The 16,749-nt window shown below is 41.0% G+C and overlaps 1 protein-coding gene across 3 annotated transcripts in view, besides 1 other annotated feature; it reads right to left on the reverse strand.

The window, feature by feature from the left end:
- Positions 1-16,749, reverse strand: part of TMEM9B (TMEM9 domain family member B) — a 17,746-nt gene continuing 997 nt past the window's right edge. For 2 of the 3 annotated variants that reach the window (NM_001286095.2, NM_020644.3), the window contains exons 2-5: positions 14,891-14,982; positions 8,989-9,097; positions 6,002-6,136; positions 1-1,274 (exon numbers count right to left, since the gene is read on the reverse strand). In NM_001286095.2, coding sequence (NP_001273024.1) covers positions 1,119-1,274; positions 6,002-6,136; positions 8,989-9,072 — 375 coding nt within the window. In that variant the 5' untranslated portion in view covers positions 9,073-9,097; positions 14,891-14,982 and the 3' untranslated portion in view covers positions 1-1,118. The remainder of the gene's footprint in view (positions 1,275-6,001; positions 6,137-8,988; positions 9,098-14,890; positions 14,983-16,749) is intronic. The other variant, NM_001286094.2, reaches the window with a different exon arrangement.
- Positions 16,705-16,749: part of a silencer, noted in NCBI's record as "silent region_3117", that runs on past the window's edge. NCBI's record gives its function as "represses an Ori minimal core promoter by ATAC-STARR-seq in GM12878 lymphoblastoid cells {active_cell/tissue: GM12878}" and the evidence as "EXISTENCE:reporter gene assay evidence [ECO:0000049][PMID:35858748]".

Here is a 16,749-nt window from a genome sequence, read left to right on the forward strand (position 1 = left end):
CAGGGTACAAAATGTCTTTATATCTTCAATCTCATTATACAGCAAAAGAGGGAGGAGGAAAAAACTAGGAGACATAGATAGATACACTGATGGATGTTTCAAAAATTATTTTTATTGTTACATTCCAAAGAGGACATAGGAAGAAAAAAGCCAGTTATCCAATAATGGTTAGACCTTTCAGAAGAGGCACCCACAACCCCAGCCCTAGTTCAAAGCTGCACACATTGGAGCTCAAACAGCTGCCTCTCACCACGACCGGAAATGCTGACAAATGTGTATATATTATCAATCCAGGGAGGCTTGGGTTTAAAATAAAATTTCTTTATTGCAAGTGTCCAAGTCCTTAGGATTTGTCCTTAAAGGTACTAGAAGATGAGTAAGACCACACACACCAAGACTATGTTTAGTCTTTAGAGTAAACTAGCAAATGGCCAGTTTGTTCTAGGATGCATTGCATCAGACATCACAGTACATGAAGAAAATCTGCTTTTTGTGAAAAGCCACCAGGCATTTTAGATCCCGTTTACCATGAAGTGCAGACACAGCAGATACCCAGATAATACAGTCAGTGCAAAAGTCAAATGAGTAAGTCAGCTCTTTGATGAGGCTGGCTACACTGCAAAATATAAATGAAACTCGAAAATAGAAGGTAAGGTCTATTTACAAAAGTTTGTTTAGTAAAGTGACTTGAAAAAAGTTGTTAACCACTTCCCAGGCATCCCTCCCCTCTCCCACCAAAACAAACAAACAAAAAACAACAACAACAAAAACCCTGAAAATTATCTTGAAAGTCAAGTTAAAACTATGTGGTGAAAAAGAGAGTGCTTGTTCCAGGTAAAGGACTTCAAGATAATTTACAGGCAGATTTATTTTTATTAGTAAAAGTCACAAATAGGAAAAGACTTATTGGCTGACTTTGAGCTGTGTGCTTTTAAAAATGTCTCTATTATTACGTTAACAAGAAAAAAAAATCAAGCAAGTTTTTGCTTCCAGTTTTGAATCTTCCAGCAACAGTTGGTGAAATCAACAAGGTATTAAAATGAAACCCAGCAAAACCCAGTCAGTTCTTTCCAGTTGTCTGCCTGTTTCTTTCTAGTCACCTTGAATTCAATTCCCAATTAGCTGAGGACAACATGCCGGTCAAAGACAGACTTTCGCTGCTCTTGGACTTGAAGCTTCCAGCGCTGCTGTGCATATTCTACCTTGTTCAGCACGTTGGCTCGACTGCGGGAGCGGGCTAGCACATCGTGTGCATTTGCAAAAGGCTGGTGATCCTAAAAGTCCAGGAATGGAGAACATTAGAGATGGCACAGTCAGTGTAAAACATAGACACACAACAGTGACCAGCCCGCCACAGAAATAGGGGTAGGTGGACTTTTCAAACAACAGAGCATCTATTTAGCTAAGCACTCCTAAGCGCTCAACTACCAGATAGAGTATGAACTCAAGTACAGACCTAGGTGGTTCAAGAAACATAAGCGATGACAGAGTATTTGTGAAACGTTCCCATGGATTGCCATTTCCAAAGATATTTCCCTTAAAGAAGTGGAGACCAAGCAAAAGACAGTGGTCATTTGTGTTAAAGAGAAGCCTTCCTTAACTGATAGGGAAAAGAAAATCTATTTTCATGTTAACATCTCTCCATGTTATAGATATGGAAAGTAGGGTCTTTCCTTGCTTTATTCGATACTATAAAGCTAATCTGTGGCAGAGGAAAGATCTGTCTTTTAATTTCCTGTCTCCATTAGAATTGTTTTCTTGCCAGCTTGGGGCCACATCACTCTGGGAGGGTGAGCGACAGAGTCTTATCTTGGGTTGTTTTTAATCTCTCCCTGTACCCTCAACACACACACTAAATGGATTAGCTTCCAAAAGCTTCCTCATTTCCCCACTTCCCCAATGTGTAATGAAAAGAGACACAGCTCAAGTGCTACAATCACCCTCTCTATTCAACAAAGATTGAATCTTCCATTGTTAAGCACCCAGTGGCTTCCATGTAAGTTGCTGCCTTGGGAAAGAGGCTATTGAAGGGTTGCCCAGGTATCTGTATAGAAAACCAACCTAACCTGGTCAAAGTAAACGAGTACAACTGGATGTTTGTAGTCATTACACAGGAAACCACCATGCTAATCTATCTATGAATGAGATATAAACACAGCTGTCTAAATGACAAAAAGCATTCAATAGTAATTTATTGCTTTTGTTTGCCTTTTCCTTGATCTCTTTTTCTTGAACCCCGTGTTAGCAAAGCTTCTCAATGTTCCAACAGAAGATCCAAGTCACAAGTTGTACCTCTTATACTAAACTTTGCCTCTAGGAGAGAAACAACATTATTTTGCTGTGCATGTTTGAAAAAGCTCTATTATATATCCAGGGCAGGAGTCTGCATGTATATGGAAAGCTATATACATAACCACATAACTATATATACAACTATAATTATAGGAGTTAGAACACCTGGTCTTGTTTTTATAGCAAGGCATTTATACAATGTCTACATTTGAAAGATATCAAAGAGTTTTTATAAAGAATCTTTCCTCCTCTTCTTTGTCAAAATTCCTTCAACTTTTCACTTTATTTAGGTAATGGCTTGTACAAATCCTAAAACTCAAGTTATTTAAAAAGTGGATTTTTTTTTTTTAAAGAGATGGGGTCTCACTATATTGCCCAGACTGGCCATGAACTTAATTTTTTTTTTTTTTTTGAAATAGGGTCTACCCATGTTGCCCAGGCTGGAAGGCAGGGGCTATTCACAGGTGTGATCACAGCTCACTGCAGCCTTGAACTCCTGGCCTCAAGTGATCCTCCTGCCTCAGCGTCCCAAGTAGCTGGGACCTATAGCCTATTTTTAAACTTTTAACCTTACAAATGAAAATAATAAAGGCAATTTCATGAGGCTTAAAATGTTTTAAAAAATGTAAGAAAAAAGCTAAAAAAGAAAAAAAAAAAGGAGGCAGGCTAAAGTTATAGAATTGCTTGATTTTCCATTATGGCAATAAATTGACCCAAGGTCATTTAACAAATTAGCATAAAGACTAAAACTTAGCCTGCCTAACCCTGACTTGGTGTTATATTGTCTCAAAACAGATTTTGGTCAGGTAGATTAAAATGACACTATAAGAATATGGTGCTTCAGTGAATTTGTGTATAAAATATCATCCCCTGAAGTCAAGGACCAGAGGAGGAAAATATTATCACCATTGGTTTGTTTTGACATAAGCAATACTGGGAAGAAGGATGTACTTGATCGGCAGAGGACCTCTCAGTTGCCTAGTGCTGTTATCTATTCTTCAAGGTAGGGGAGAAAAATCTTCTTAAGGAACAAGTTCAAAAGACTAAACAAACCAGCTAATCCTTTGGGTCTGCTCTCTATCCATCAGAACGAGATTGAACTAGCTGCTCATGGTCACAGATGCTGGGGGAATGCAAATAGAGATTTACCCTTTTTATGTTTGTTCTTTTCACACCTGATAAAATTACAATAAATACAAAACATGTTTTACTGTAATGCTTTGGTAATAACGATGATGTGTCATGGATATATGATATAGTAAATATTGTGACTACTTGCAGTGAGCTTAACTATTTGTACTCACTTTTATTTGCTTTAAAATGCTCTACACTGAACAAAAACAGAAAAAATGAAAACTGATAGTTCAACAAAAACATTTTTAAAGTATATAAATAGTGCAGAACTCACATCTTGGATAAGCAACAGTTTTAAAAATTAAAATTCACTTATTTTTGTAGAGTTGTTACCATAAATTCACAGCTCTGGTCAGAAAACCTCTCTGCCTAGAATCAGTTTAAAAGACATCCAAGAGTCAGCCAGGCCTCACAGAGACAGTGTTCTCAAATAGTCAATACACAAGCAGAATCAATCACTGGTGGACAAAACAATTACTGAGCATGTGATCCCACCAATTAAATGCCTGCCCTACATGTTTTCATCTCTACATCCATTTCTCTTATGTTTTGTGTTATTATATTGTCTATTTCTGAAATCAGGAACAGATATTTAACGCTGTAAAGGAAGGATGTCGTTTAAGACTTTCAACGTCTATGCCTATAGATGCACGAGCCATTCCAGGGTAAAAGGACTTTTGACTGGCTGGCAAGGGCTCACTCTGGGTTTGGCTTTTGAATTGAACCTTAAAACTATTCTGAATTTTACCCATTTTAAGGAACATAGTCCAATATAATAATCCACGAGAAAAAGTAATTTCTAAAAAAATAATTATATATAATAATGAAAGAATGGAAAATTCAGCTGGGTGCGGTGGCTCACGCCTGTAATCCCAGCACTTTGGGAGGCCGAGGCAGGGGGATCATGAGGTCAGGAGATTGAGACCATCCTGGCTAACACAGTGAAACCCCGTCTCTACTAGAAAAAAAAAATACGAAAAATTAGCCGGGCGCGATGGCGGGCGCCTGTAGTTCCAGCTACTTGGGAGGCTGAGGCAGGAGAATGGCGTGAACCCGGGAGGCGGAGCTTGCAGTGCGCTGAGATCGCACCACTGCAGTCCAGCCGGGGCAACAGAGCGAGACTGCGTCTCAAAAAAAAAAAAAAAGGAAAATTCAGAAACAATTTCATACAGGGTAATGATGAAACAAAAATATCCAGCCAGGCGCAGTGGCTCACACCTGTAATCCCAGCACTTTGGGAGGCCGAGGCGAGCTGATCACTTGAGGTCAGGAGTTCAAGAGCAGCCTGGCCAAAATGGTGAAACTCCGTCTCTACTAAAAATACAAAAAAAATTAGCCAGGCGTGGTGGCAGGTGCCTGTAGAACCAGCTACCTGGGAGGCTGAGGCAGGAGAATTGCTTGAACTTGGGAGGCTGAGGTTGTAGTGAGCCAAAGTCACGCCACTGCACTCCAGCATGGGCGACAGAGTGAGACTCCGTCTCAAAAAACAAAAAAAACATTCTCTAAGCTACACTGAAAAACAGATTTGTGGACTAAGTCAATTTCTGGACATTTTTGAATAAACGAATATTAAAACAAAAAGGAGACCATGAAGCAATTTATACAGATTATGCCAACTATATACACACACACACACACACACACACACACACGCTATATATATATATATATAAACATATATAATGTACACACGTGTGTGTGTGTGTGTGTGAGAGATTTAAAGACAGGAAGAGAATCTGGAGTGATGGTAGTCATGGTTTTATTTTTCTCTAAAGATCTCAGATTTTTTTTTTCTTTTTTTTTAAACAGGCTTCTTGCTGTGTTGCTTAGGCTGGAGTCCTATGGTGTGATCACAGTTCTGCAGCCTCAAACTCCTGGGGTCAAGTGACACTCCTGTCTCAGCCTCCTGAATAGTTGGGACCACAGGCATGCACCACCACACCCGGCTAATGCTTTTATTTTTTGTAGAGACAGGGTCTCACCATGTTGACCAGGGTGGTCTTGAACTCCTGGGCTCAAGTGATCCTCCCACCTTGGCCTCCCAAAGTGCTGGGATTACAGGTGTATGCCCCCACACCTGGCCCACAGATTTTTTTTTAAGCAGTAGAAAAAAAGGAAATATAAAACATCAGCAGGTTATCAAGTTGTACTTCATTAAGAAAAGAACATCATGATCTTCACACTTCCCTTGATGAAAACCTCTCTGCCTTCTAAAATATTTGGTGATATTGACAGAGAAGGTGTTTCAGGCAGGAGAGCTTGGAGAGAAAACCATCTCTGATACTTTTCTCAATGTAAACAGGGAATGGCAATAAAATTGTGCCTTTGGTACTGAAAGCAAGGCCCTGTATAGCATGCTCACCAAAGATCATCGTTTAAATCATCACATTTATGGCTTCATCAAGCAATTTCTTCATAAAGAGGTATATACTGAAATCAGAGCTGTTTTTAGCTTCTCTAGTTGAGGATCTGCTTCAGCACGTGAACATCTATATATGACTATTTTTCACTTGCACTTCACATCGAATGATGACAGGGACTGGCCATGAGCAGCTAGGGCAGGCTGGGAACTTACCCCAATATCATCATCACTCTGTATCAACTGTGCATGTCCAAAGAGGCGCCTCTTCAGTATGGGCTCAACCAGAGTAAGATATACCATGTACAGAAGTAGAAGGCCCAAAATGGAGAGATAAATTATAATGGTAACCTAAAGGAAATTGAAAATTAAGTTACATCTTTGTTCAAGCCCATAAATCAGAACTTTGTATGATAATAGTAAAACTGACTGACATATCTGCTAAGCCTATAGGATTTCTATACAAACCAGATAGCAATATAAGAAATAAACTCAACTCTTCACCAAAGTATTATTTAAGAAAAAAAGAGGAAAGATCTTTGGGATTTTTTTGCAAGTCTTCAAGACTCCAACTTCACCTACTGCTAATCACCTGTCACCACTGCTAGCACAGCAGTTTGTTTCTTTTCCCAGCTGAACATAATGTCCTAAATTCAGCTACTCTTTAGCTCAATTTAGATATACAAAAGTATTTTCTAGGCCGGTGATTTTTTCTTGTGACCTTAATTCATGTACTGAGAAAAAGTACAGTGTGACACACCCACTAGAAGGACTACAATAAAATAAATAGACAATACCAAGTATTAGCAAGGATATGGAGAAACAGCCCTCATACGCTGTGGTGGGAATGTAAAGTGGTACAACCACTTTGGGAAACAATCTGGCAGTCTCTTAAAAAGTTAAACATAATTTTACCATTCTAAGGAATTAACCCAAGAGAATGGAAAACATATATATCCATACAAAGACATATGTGCAGATATTCACAACAGTATTATTCATAATAGTAAAAACCCAGACATAATCCAAACGTCCATCAACTGATAAATGCATATTCATATAGTGAAATACTATTCAGCAATAAAAAGAAACGAAGTACTGATACATGCTACAACTTGCATAAACATCAAAAACATTGTGCTAAATGAAAGAAGCCAGTCACAGAAGACTATATATTATATGATTCCATATACATGAAATGTCCATGTATGCAGAGACAGAAAGTAGACTAGTGACCGAGTAGGGCTGGAAATGGGAATTAACTGTAAATGGGCATGAGGGATCTTTTTGGGGTAGTGGGAATGTTCTGAAACTGGATTTTATTTTTTTTTTTTTGAGACAGAGTCTCACTGGAGTGCAGTGGCACGATCTCAGCTCACTGCAACCTCTGCCTCCAGGATCAAGTGATTCTCATGCCGTAGCCTCCCAAGTAGCTGGGACTACAGGTGCGTGCCACCACACCTGGCTAATTTTTATATTTTTAGTAGAGATGGGGTTTCACCACGTTGGACAGGCTGGTCTCGAACTCCTGACCTCAAGTGATCCACCCGCCTCGGACTTCCAAAGTGCTGGGATTATAGATGTGAGCCACCATGCCTGGCCTGAAACTGGATTTTAAAATGTTTTAAATCTACTAAAATTTATAGAATTGTATACTTATAGTGAGTGACTTTTAGGGTACATAAGTTGTATATTTTTTACAAATCTGTTAAATAATAGTACAGTGAGGATTTATCTAAAGTTCAGCACCCTGCTGGAGCAAGAGCTCTTCCACAGGGTCAATCACAGCAGAAATGTTTGTGACTATTATAACTAACCACCCCACATTCCCCACAGGGCCTTTTGGGGGGAAAGGAATGGGAAGTGCCATGTAAAAAAAAATTAGGCCAGGCGCGGTGGCTCACACCTGCAATCCCAGCACTTTGGGAGGCCAAGATGGGTGGACCACGAGGTCAGGAGTTCGAGACCAGCCTGACCAACATGGTGAAATCCTGTCTCTACTAAAAATACAAAAATTAGCTGGGCGTGGTGGTGCATGCCTGTAATCCCAGCTACTCAGGAGGCTGAGGCAGGAGAATCGCTTGGACCCAGGAGGCGGAGGTTGCAGTGAGCCAAGATTACACCACTGCACTCCAGCCTGGGCAATAGAGCAAGACTCCATCTCAAAAAAAAAAAAAAATTGGAAGAAAAACCATTAGCCACTATAATAAAGTAACTGAACTCATTAGAAATACAAATGGTGATGAGAGTGATCTACATCCCATTTACTACAGCAATACTCCACAACCTTTTTGGCACCAGGGACGGGACCAGTTTCATGGAAGACAATTTTTTCATGGACCAGGGGTGGTAGGGGATGGTTTGGGTATGATTCTAGCACATTACATTTATTGTGCACTTTATTTCTATTATTATTACATTATAATATATAATGAAATAATTATACAGTTCACCATAACATAGAATCAGTGGGAGCCCTGAGCTTGTTTTCCTGCAACTAGACGGTCCCATATGGGGGTGATGGGAGTCAGTGACAGATCATCAGGCATTAGATTCTCATTCTCATAAGGAGCATGCAGCCTAGATCCCTCACATGTGCAGTCCACAATAGAGTTCATGCTCCTATGAGAATCTAATGCTGCTGCTCATCTGACAGGAGGTGGAGCTCAGGTGGTAATGCGAATGATGGGGAGCAGCTGTAAATAAGATGAAGCTTTGCTCACTTGCCCACTGCTCACCTCCTGCTGAGTGGCCCAGTTCCTAACAGACCACAGACTGGGCTGTGGCCTGGGGGCTGGGGACCACTGTCCTACAGGAAATGAAGAGGGGAAATCTTAAAATCCAGAAGTAATAGTTCTAGAATAATTACTATATATTTAATTTTTTCAAAGGGCTGGAAAGGCAAGGAGAGGAGGGCTTATAAATGCTGCTCTCTCAGCCTCTGGCACACATGGCCTACACAGAAGCTGGGATATCTTTCTGGAATATGCTAATTACACATAGGGCATTTTTGTGCCATTTCACATATCTATCTAACATACCCTAACTAATCCACAAACCATGTCAGTGAGGCAGGCAGAACAGGCCCATTATTCCTTTTGGGGTAGGGGTCCAAATTTTTCTGTCTTGTCTAGAAACCATCCAGAAGCAGAAAAGACGTAGACAGACAGACAGACAGGTAGATAGAGGGATATATATTTTACCTTGATTGTGACAGAGCTTCTTTCTTCATATTTGCATTCACAGCGTAGACAGTATGCTTCTACATCAGGCCCCCGCACAGGCATGGGCTCCACAACATGAAGGCAATCACTGAAAAAACAAAGATAAAATGCTGCTTAAGCCCAGCTAGCTCTTCTGCTTGCTCTGACCAAAAGTTTCCTGAAATCTAGAATAATCACTAAACTTACCCAATGAAAGAGCATAAAAAACAAATAATCAATAAGATAAAGTAAAATAATTTCTGCTCTCAATATTAGCATTTTGGTAAGTTTTAACCATTTAAGAAGCCACAAAGTCACACATATAGTAGTGTCTATTTTCAAAGCTGCTACTGTTAACAGTTACAAAAACGCACACAAAAAATCCCAAATGGGATGAAAAACTACTTAACAAATCAAGTCACCTTTAGACTTGTTCAGTTACTAAGGAAAACTACTTAAAATGGTTTAAAGTGATATGGGGCACTGTTCAAATATAAGATTATCTCTTTTGTGAATTAACATCATTCTTTTTTGTTGTTGTTTTTTAAGAGACAAGGTCTTGCTCTGTCACATGGGCTGTAGTGGAGTGGTGCCATCATAGCTCACTGCAGCCTCAGACTCCTGGGCTCAAGTGATCCTCCTGCCTCAACCTCCAGAGCAGCTATGATTACAGGAGCCTGCCACCATGCCTGGCTAATTTTTAGATTTGTTGTAGAGATCAGGTCTTGGTTTGTTGACCTAACTTGTCTTGAATACCTGGCCTCAAGTGATCCTCCTATCTTGGCCTCCTAAAGTGCCGGGATTACAGGTGTGAGCCACCGTGCCCAGCCAACATCATTCTTAACTGCCAGTGTGGTGTATGAATGACTAACCACGTTTAACAGCGTGGTAAATTCTGAAACTCTGAAAATTGAACCCTCAAAGCCACACACAGGAAGAAACAATCACTTTTCTTAATGAGCAAATCTGAAAAAGCAAGGAGAAATAGAATAACTAAAATATTTTAAAACAAAAACTGGTTATTCCAAAGAACTAAATAAAAACTAACAAAGGGATGAGTGTTTTTGTTGAATGTTACTTATTTCCCCAACCCCATTTTCAAGGCTAATTATTTATGGTTTGTGTAAACACAGTGCTATCAGATTTTTCCTAGAAATCTGTCAATTCTAAGCAATAACTAAATTATTATTCTCCTCAACTATTAAGAGTCTATGACTCTGATCACCTTCAGCAAAATTAGGGAAAGCTTTCCTGTCCTCCTGCCAGCTGTTGGACAATTTTCTTTCCTTTTGGCATCTCTTCGTTAGGCATTCCTGGCTGCCTCAAGCACTCTACTACACCATCCTATCTTATCTTACCCATTCTCTTGGGGACACCCAATACTCTATAGAGTGATTCCTTCTCTTTCCCCACCAAAATGTACTTTTTGGAAACAAAGTTACAGCTTGGTGGGAGGAATAAGTTCTAGTGTTCTATATCCCTGTAGGATGACTATAGTCAACAATAATATATATTATAGTTTCAAATAGCTAGAAGGAGGATTTTGAATATTTTCAACACAAAGAAATGATAAATGTCTGAGATGCTAAATATTCTGATCAAATCACTATATCTTATATGAATTGAAACATCACTATGTATCCCATAAATACGTACAGTTATTGTGTCAATTAAAAATTAATTTCAGCCGGGCGCAGTGGCTCATGCCTGTAATCCCAGCACTTTGGGAGGCCGAGGCGGGAAGATCACCTGAGGTTGGGAGTTCGAGACCAGCCTGACCAACATGGAGAAACCCCGTCTCTACTAAAAATACAAAAAAATTAGCCAGGCATGGTGGTGCATGCCTGTAATCCCAGCTACTCAGGAGGCTGAGACTTGAGAATCGCTTGAACCTGGGAGGTGGAGGTTACGGTCAGCCGAGATCGTGCCATTGCACTCCAGCCTGGGCAATGACAGCGAAACTCCGTCTCAAAAAAAAAAAAAAAAAAAAAGGCCGGGTGTGGTGGCTCACGCCTGTAATCTCAGCACTTTGGGAGGCCGAGGCGGTTGGATCATGAGGTCAGGAGTTCAAGACCTGCCTGACCAACAGGGTGAAACCCCATTTCTACTAAAAATACAAAAAATTATCTGGGCATGGTGGCACATGCCTGTAATCCCAGCTACTCAGGAGGCTGAGGCAGGAGAATCACTTGAACCTGGGAGGCAGAGGTTGTAGTGAGCCGAGATCGCGCCATTGCACTCAGCCTGGGCAACAGAGTGAGACTCTGTCTCAAAAAAAAAAAAGTTAATTTCTAGAAATTCATATTTTCATGTTCTGTTCCCTCTAAACTGTGGCATTAGAAAAAATAACCAAAACGGTATATGATAGAAGTTGTTAGGTTATTCTTTTTTTTTTTTTTTGAGACAGAGTTTCACTCTTGTTGCCCAGGCTGGAGTGCAATGGTGTGATCTTCCTCAACACAACCTCTTCCTCCAGGGTTCAAGTGATTCTCCTGCCTCAGCCTCCCTAGTAGCTGGGATTACAGGCATGCGCTACCATGCCCGACTAATTTTGTATTTTTAGTAGAGATGGGGTTTTTCCATGTTGGTCAGGCTGGTCTCAAACTCCCAACTTCAGGTGATGTGCCTGCCTCGGCCTCCCAAAGTGCTGGCATTACAGGCATGAGTCACCGCACCCGGCCCAGGTTATTCTTAACAGGTAATTTAATTTTAACAAAGGTAGTAATGAAAAATTAAATTTCCACTGATGGTATTTCAAATACGGGTAAGGCCCCACAACTCTCACCATAAAAGTGTGTGATATCTGTTCCAAATATACAGAAGACCAGGCATGTACCCAACTGGATGCAGGCACAAAATGGGCAGAGGGAACTATATCCCATAACAGGTGTTATCTATCTGAGGATCAGAGAGCTCATCTAGCCTCAGGCTTAGAGAAGGTCACAGAGTAAAATCATATTTGAAAAAGGATCAGGCCACGCATGGTGGCTTATCCCTATAATCCCAGAGTTTTAGGAGGCCAACATGTGAGGATCACTTGAAGCCAACTTGAGACCAGCCTGGGCAACATAGTGAGACCCAGTGTCGACAAAAATAAAAATTAGCCAGGTTGATGGTACACACCTGTAGTCCCAGCTACACAGGAGGCTGAGGCTGGAGGACCACTGGAGCCTAGGAGATCAAGGCTGCAATGAGCTATGATCGTGCCACTGCACTCTAGCAATAAAAAAAACAGAAAGGACCAGAATCCAGGACTCCTGCTTCCTACGTCAGTTCTTTACCTCTGAACCTCGGGAAAATGAAACTGATCTATTTAGTTTCCTACTTCAGCTTCAGAAGCTTTGGCAACAATACCTAAGAATGACTTGGGAATTTTAAGTGCTAAGTAAGTATTGAGTATTTCTTTTGAAGGATATATTTTAATAACAAAAAGATACTTGAGTGCTGTGCAAAAGTTGTGCCCAGCTGGAGAGAAAGCAGGAAGGTTGATTTTGGCTGACCAGTCATTACAAACAGAGCTAGACCTAGTCAGAGGTTAACCACTTAAGGAACTAGGCAACACCTCCCCCTAGTGCCAAAAGTAACACATCATTAGCTTTAAATCACCCCAAACACAAACTAGAGCACTCCAACTACTCTTAAGTTTTAAGTCAGCCAGCATAAGTCAATGAAGACTTAAAGATAAAAACTGGACAAAATGAAAGGCCCAGAAAACAAAAGGTAAAACTATATCTAGGCCCTCACAGATACTGGAGGCCTCGTAAAGCCATAATTCTGGTGAATCATAACTTGCCTGCCCCGTAAAGTCAGTTAAAATTTTTCAGTGCCAGCTGGGAACTTATCCCTAGAAAAATGCTAAGCTGCAGAAAAGAAACAAGGGAGAGTGGGAGAGAGGGAAGAAAAACCCCAAGCAAGCCTTATTCTCAACTGTTTATTTTCTTTGTTTCTGTTTTTTTTTTTTTTTTTTTTTTGAGACAGAGTCATGCTCTGTCACCCAGGTTAGAGGGCAGTGGCACAATCTCAGCTCACTGCAACCTCTACCTCTGCGGCTCAAGCGATTCTCTACCTTAGCCTTCCGAGTAGCTGGAATTACAGGCGTGTGCCACCATGCCCAGCTAATTTTTATATTTTTAGTAGAGTCGGGGTTTCACCATGTTGGCCAGGCTGTTCTTGAACTCCTGGCCTCAAGTGATCCACCTGCCTTGGCCTCCCAAAGTGCTGGGATTACAGGTGTGAGCCACCATGTCCTGCCTCAACTGTTTTCAAAGCCAAAGCTATTTTTACTAATAACCAGGGGTTAATGACATATGGTCCTGTCTGAGTCTGAAATAATGAAAAGTTAGTGAAAAGATTAGTGCTAACCACTTGAATAGTGAGTTCATTTGCTACTCAAAAGACAGGCATTGCATTTCATTACTGATAACAGAATAAACTGTAAGCACTGAATAAATTTGGAAAATTTATAGAAGTAACATAAAGATTTATTTGAACATTCTTTTTTTTTTTTTTTGAGCTAGGGTCTCGCTCTGTCACCCAGGCTGGAGTGCAGTGGCGCGATCTCGGCTCACTGCAAGCTCTGCCTCCCGGGTTCAAGCGATTCTCCTGCCTCGGCCTCCCGAGTGGCTGGGATTACAGGCACCCGCCACCAAGCCCGGCTAATTTTTTTTGTATTTTTAGTAGAGACAGGGTTTCACTCTGTTGGCCAGGCTGGTCTCGAACTCCTGACCTCAGGTGATCCGCCTGCCTCAGCCTCCCAGAGTGCTGGGATTACAGGCGTGAGCCACCGTGCCCGGCCTGAACATTCTTGTATCATATAAAGTAACTTCCTGATATAAAACCTTTAAGAATATGGCCAAATCGCTTGGTTAATATGACACCACTTACAGTGGAACATAGAGGTTCACAAGAAGTTCTCAAGAACACACTTAACAAATATGAGACTGAACCTAAATGCGTATCAGGGAAGAACAGACAGTGGCATCAGAGAAACTAAACATACTCAAAGGCTGCCTTTTCTTTTTTAAAGTCAGGTTGGAATACTGTTAACTGAATGAATTTAATCTTGCTTTCTAACTCTTTGATGGCTATTTAGCTATGAAATCAGATACACGTGAAAGCTCCTACCATTTGGAACTATTTTTCCTAAATTCCTATCCCATCCATCTTCCACCGTGGTTACAAACCATAAAACATCACAATTCTATGGGAAGGAACACATTCATCCTGCTGTAATACAACTGCATCCCAACTGCTTCATGGCACACGTAGAAAAAGCTATTTGTCAGGTCTGCTGGGATAAGCAGAGAAGGCTGCTGGTGGCTAGTCAGTCAGGATCCCCCAGTCATCACAGGCCTGCCTGACTGCCCAAGGACTGAACAGGTCAATATCTTGGCACAACTGTAACTTCTTCATTTACACCAAATGGGAAACTCTGACTACATAGCTCATTTCCACTTCTTCTTGAGCCTTCTGACACTTTTAAACATAGCTTCCCATACTTGGCAATACATCATCAAAACCTACAAGTTGTAAAAATTATAACCCAGACAAACGAGGCTTGCTAACCTTCCACTGAAAAGCAAGAGGGAGAAAGGTCCCTCACCAAAACTTGAGGGAGTACAGCAAGATAGCTATGGGTAGTTTAGGTGCCACAAACCCAGTCATATGCTCCCATGAAACTCTGCCTACATGGGTCTTAGTGTTTTGGCTGTATACCTTTAGGCCTGCAGGCATCATGCACGTAGGGCCTCACTCTCACTTTTTCAAATGGAAGTAGAATTTCACATTTTTGCTTCAAATGAAATACTTAAAAAGAAAACTATGCATTTGATGAACATTCTGGGATAACACTGACAACCACAGAAACAAATGTGACAGGTAATTCAGTAATCCAGATACTTACCAATCTTTCTGAGATATGTTCTTATTATAAATATGCCCAGAATTTTCTTTATAGGGAGGGCAGATACATTTACATCTGACATCCTCGAAATTCTGTAACCAAAATGGAAACAGTATAGTGCGTTGACAGTTTATCATCAATATTTTTAAAAACTGTACCATATACATTTTGCCAAGCATCCTCTTTAGAATACCAAGTATTCTAAAATCATTCATTTAAAACTTTAACAGACACAGTTTTTAAAAGCCACAGTCCTTTATGGTAATGCCAATGAATCATTATATATTACATGTAGTTATTTTGAAATAATACCTAATACATGATCTAAGACTTATTAACCATATTTATGGGTCACATGACAATCAAATTATGTTAATGTTATTACCATCTATCTGCCACTAGAAAGACACATGGTAAGCAGATAGTTGTGCCTGTAAATAAGAATATTCATTACTAAAGGATGGGAAAGAAACTAAAAATTATTCACAAAAAAGGTCACAATTCTACCTATCATCCTTTCACCCTCTGGTAGAAGGCACTGACATTGATAAAACGGGTTGGGCCAGAGTCCCGTAGAAGGGATGAAATGTTAGAGGCACCCACCTACAACTAGAAAGGAAGTACACACAGGAAGTAGCCTGACTCTGAGATCAGTTTAGTATACTCTTCCCAGGAAACTTTGCTTCTAATTCCTGGTTGACAGACAGAACAACTACCAACAAAACAAGTTTCAAGAGGTGGAGGAACAGGTGACTAAGTATCTGGATAGAGAAAAGAAGAGATGCTTCCTCAGCAAAGGGGAATCTGTTTGAGAAGGAAGTGGCTTATCATTCCCCAGAGGACCTTGCCCACTCCTCCTATATACAGTGATATGTCTGGCAGAGCTATTGACAATTCACAAACGTATTCAGCAACCACTTAGTGAGCATTTGCTCTGTGTTAGATCTTGTGCTCAATAAGGTGGATTCAGATAAGCATAAGACATGGTTTCTGCCCATAACCAGGACACACCCTAGTAAAGGAGACTGAAAAATAAATACATGATCACAATACATAAAGTTATGAGGCAAGATATGCAGAGGGTGCCAGCAATGTTTTCAAAGTCAGGAGACGTGCTGCTGTCCCTGTTTCTGGTAGGAGGTAGAGATGGTTTCAAAAAGAATCTCTGAATCAAAAACATTTGCCTGCCTGTAACCTTTCCCCACTCCTACATTTAAAGATATTATAAATTAAAGCTCTTATTTTTAAAAACGCAATGTCATTCTGTTTTCCCATCATACTAATGTGAATCCCTTCTGTTCTCCCCCAATGATGAGCTAGCTCATCAAAGAGGAAGCACAGGTATGCATGGAGCTAGGGCAGGTCTGGAGAGCTGGGGCACCAGAGAACAGTATGAGGGAACTAGAAGGTCAAGAAATCGAACCAGGGAGGCCACAACCTCACCTCTCTTGCAGTTTGGTTCTTCCCTTACCCACTAAATTATCAGGAAGAGAGAAAGCAAGAAAGGCACCAAGGGACTCGTGGAGGGAGTTAGGTGAGAATATGAAGCAGGTGAGAGATGCTCCGTAGGCCCTATTGGGAGGGAAGTAGGCCAGGAGGGGCAAGTTCCCACCACAGGAAGGGAAGTGTTCAGGGGTGAGCTGAGCTGAGTCGGCCCTTGACAGGGAAGGCTCTGTCAGATGGGGGCTTCCTATCATTCTGGCTTGGGGCATGCGGGGCCTGTGAGGCTGGCGGAGGGCGCAGGTGGGCTGTCAAGAGCTTAGGGTGGAAAGTTAAAGGCTCTCGGAGGTGAAAAGGTTGTCAAGTGTAAGATGCGTGCAGCCGGGGCTGGGAAGGGAAATGTTAAGGCGGTGGGGGGC

This window comes from Homo sapiens, chromosome 11 (assembly GCF_000001405.40).
Source record: "Homo sapiens chromosome 11, GRCh38.p14 Primary Assembly".
Taxonomy (NCBI): Eukaryota; Metazoa; Chordata; class Mammalia; order Primates; family Hominidae; genus Homo; species Homo sapiens.